The 1,403-nt window shown below is 44.3% G+C and overlaps 1 non-coding gene across 1 annotated transcript; it reads left to right on the top strand.

The window, feature by feature from the left end:
- The first annotated feature begins 933 nt into the window (after positions 1 to 933).
- LOC124900409 (small nucleolar RNA SNORA48) lies at positions 934 to 1,067 on the top strand. Its single transcript, XR_007066481.1, has one exon. It is a non-coding gene; the product is annotated as a small nucleolar RNA SNORA48 (small nucleolar RNA).
- Positions 1,068 to 1,403: the final 336 nt, after the last annotated feature.

Raw genomic sequence — 1,403 nt, 5'->3', positions numbered from 1 at the left:
CTCACTGCAAGCTCTGCCTCCCGGGTTCACACCATTCTCCTGCCTCAGCCTCCCGAGTAGCTGGGACTACAGGCGCCCTCCACCAAGCCCAGCTAATTTTTTTGTATTTTTAGTGGAGATGGGGTTTCGCCATGTCAGCCAGGATGGTCTCAATCTCCTGACCTCATGATCTGCCCACCTCGGCCCCCCAAAGTGCTGGGATTACAGGCATGAGCCACCACACCCAGCCACATTTTTAGAGATACAAAAAATAAAAAGCTTGGCCGGGCACGGTGGCTCATGCCGGTAAATCCCAGCACTTTGGGAGGCCAAGGCAGGTGGATCACAAGGTCAGGAAATGGAGACCATCCTGGCTAACACGGTGAAACCCTGTCTCCACTAAAAATACAAAAAATTAGCCGGACATGGTGGCAGGCACCTGTAGTCCCAGCTACTCAGGAGGCTGAGGCAGGAGAATGGCGTGAACCTGGGAGGCGGAGCTTGCAGTGAGCCAAGATCGTGCCACTGCACTCCAGCCTGGGCGACAGAGCGAGACTCTGTCTCAAAAAAAAAGAAAAGAAAAGAAAAAACAAAAACAAAAGTTAGCTGGGCATGGTAGTGCATAGTGCATGCCTGTAATCCCAGCTACTCAGGAAGCTGAGGCAGGAGAATCGCTTCAATCCAGGAGGGGGAGGTTGCAGTGAGCCAAGATTGCATCACTGCACTCCAGCCTGGACAAACAGAGTGAGACTCCATCTAAGAAAAATGAAAAAGGAAAGTAACTAGGCAAACAAACAACAATACCTGCAACAAGAAAACCTGGGGAAGGGTGGGTAATCTGATATCCATAGTTGCCACATTCTATTATTTTAAATGCCCAGTTTTCAACAACAACAAAATGAAACAGACAAAAATTGGAATGTATGACTCATACACAGGTAGAAAAGCAGTCAATGCCTCTGACCTGGGTAGAGTGGCATCTGGCTGTGACATTCATCTCATATCAGCCAGGGACAAAGCAACCCCTTGTTTATTTCAGCTTGGCCTTTTGTCTGTGCCCATGCCTGGTTCATGCCTTGGACACACTAGGGGAACACAGTAAATACAAACTTTCCCTGAGGAAGCATAGACAACAGACTTACTAGACAAAGACTTTAAATTAGGTGCTATAAATAGGCTCAAAAACTAAAAGAAACTACGTTCAAATAATTAAAGATATGTATGAGAATGGTTTCACCAAATAGACAATATCAATAAAGAGAAGAAAATTATTTAAAAAGAACTAAGTAGAAATCCTGGAGTTGAAAATGAAAATAATCAAAATATGAAAAATTATCATCATATTCAAAGGAGATTTGAGCTCGTAAAAGAAAGAATCAGTGAACTTTAAGACAGGTCATTTGAGATTACCTAGTTTGAAAAAT

This window comes from Homo sapiens, chromosome 18, assembly GCF_000001405.40.
Source record: "Homo sapiens chromosome 18, GRCh38.p14 Primary Assembly".
Taxonomy (NCBI): domain Eukaryota; kingdom Metazoa; phylum Chordata; class Mammalia; order Primates; family Hominidae; genus Homo; species Homo sapiens.
This window is presented reverse-complemented; position numbering and strand designations above follow the sequence as displayed.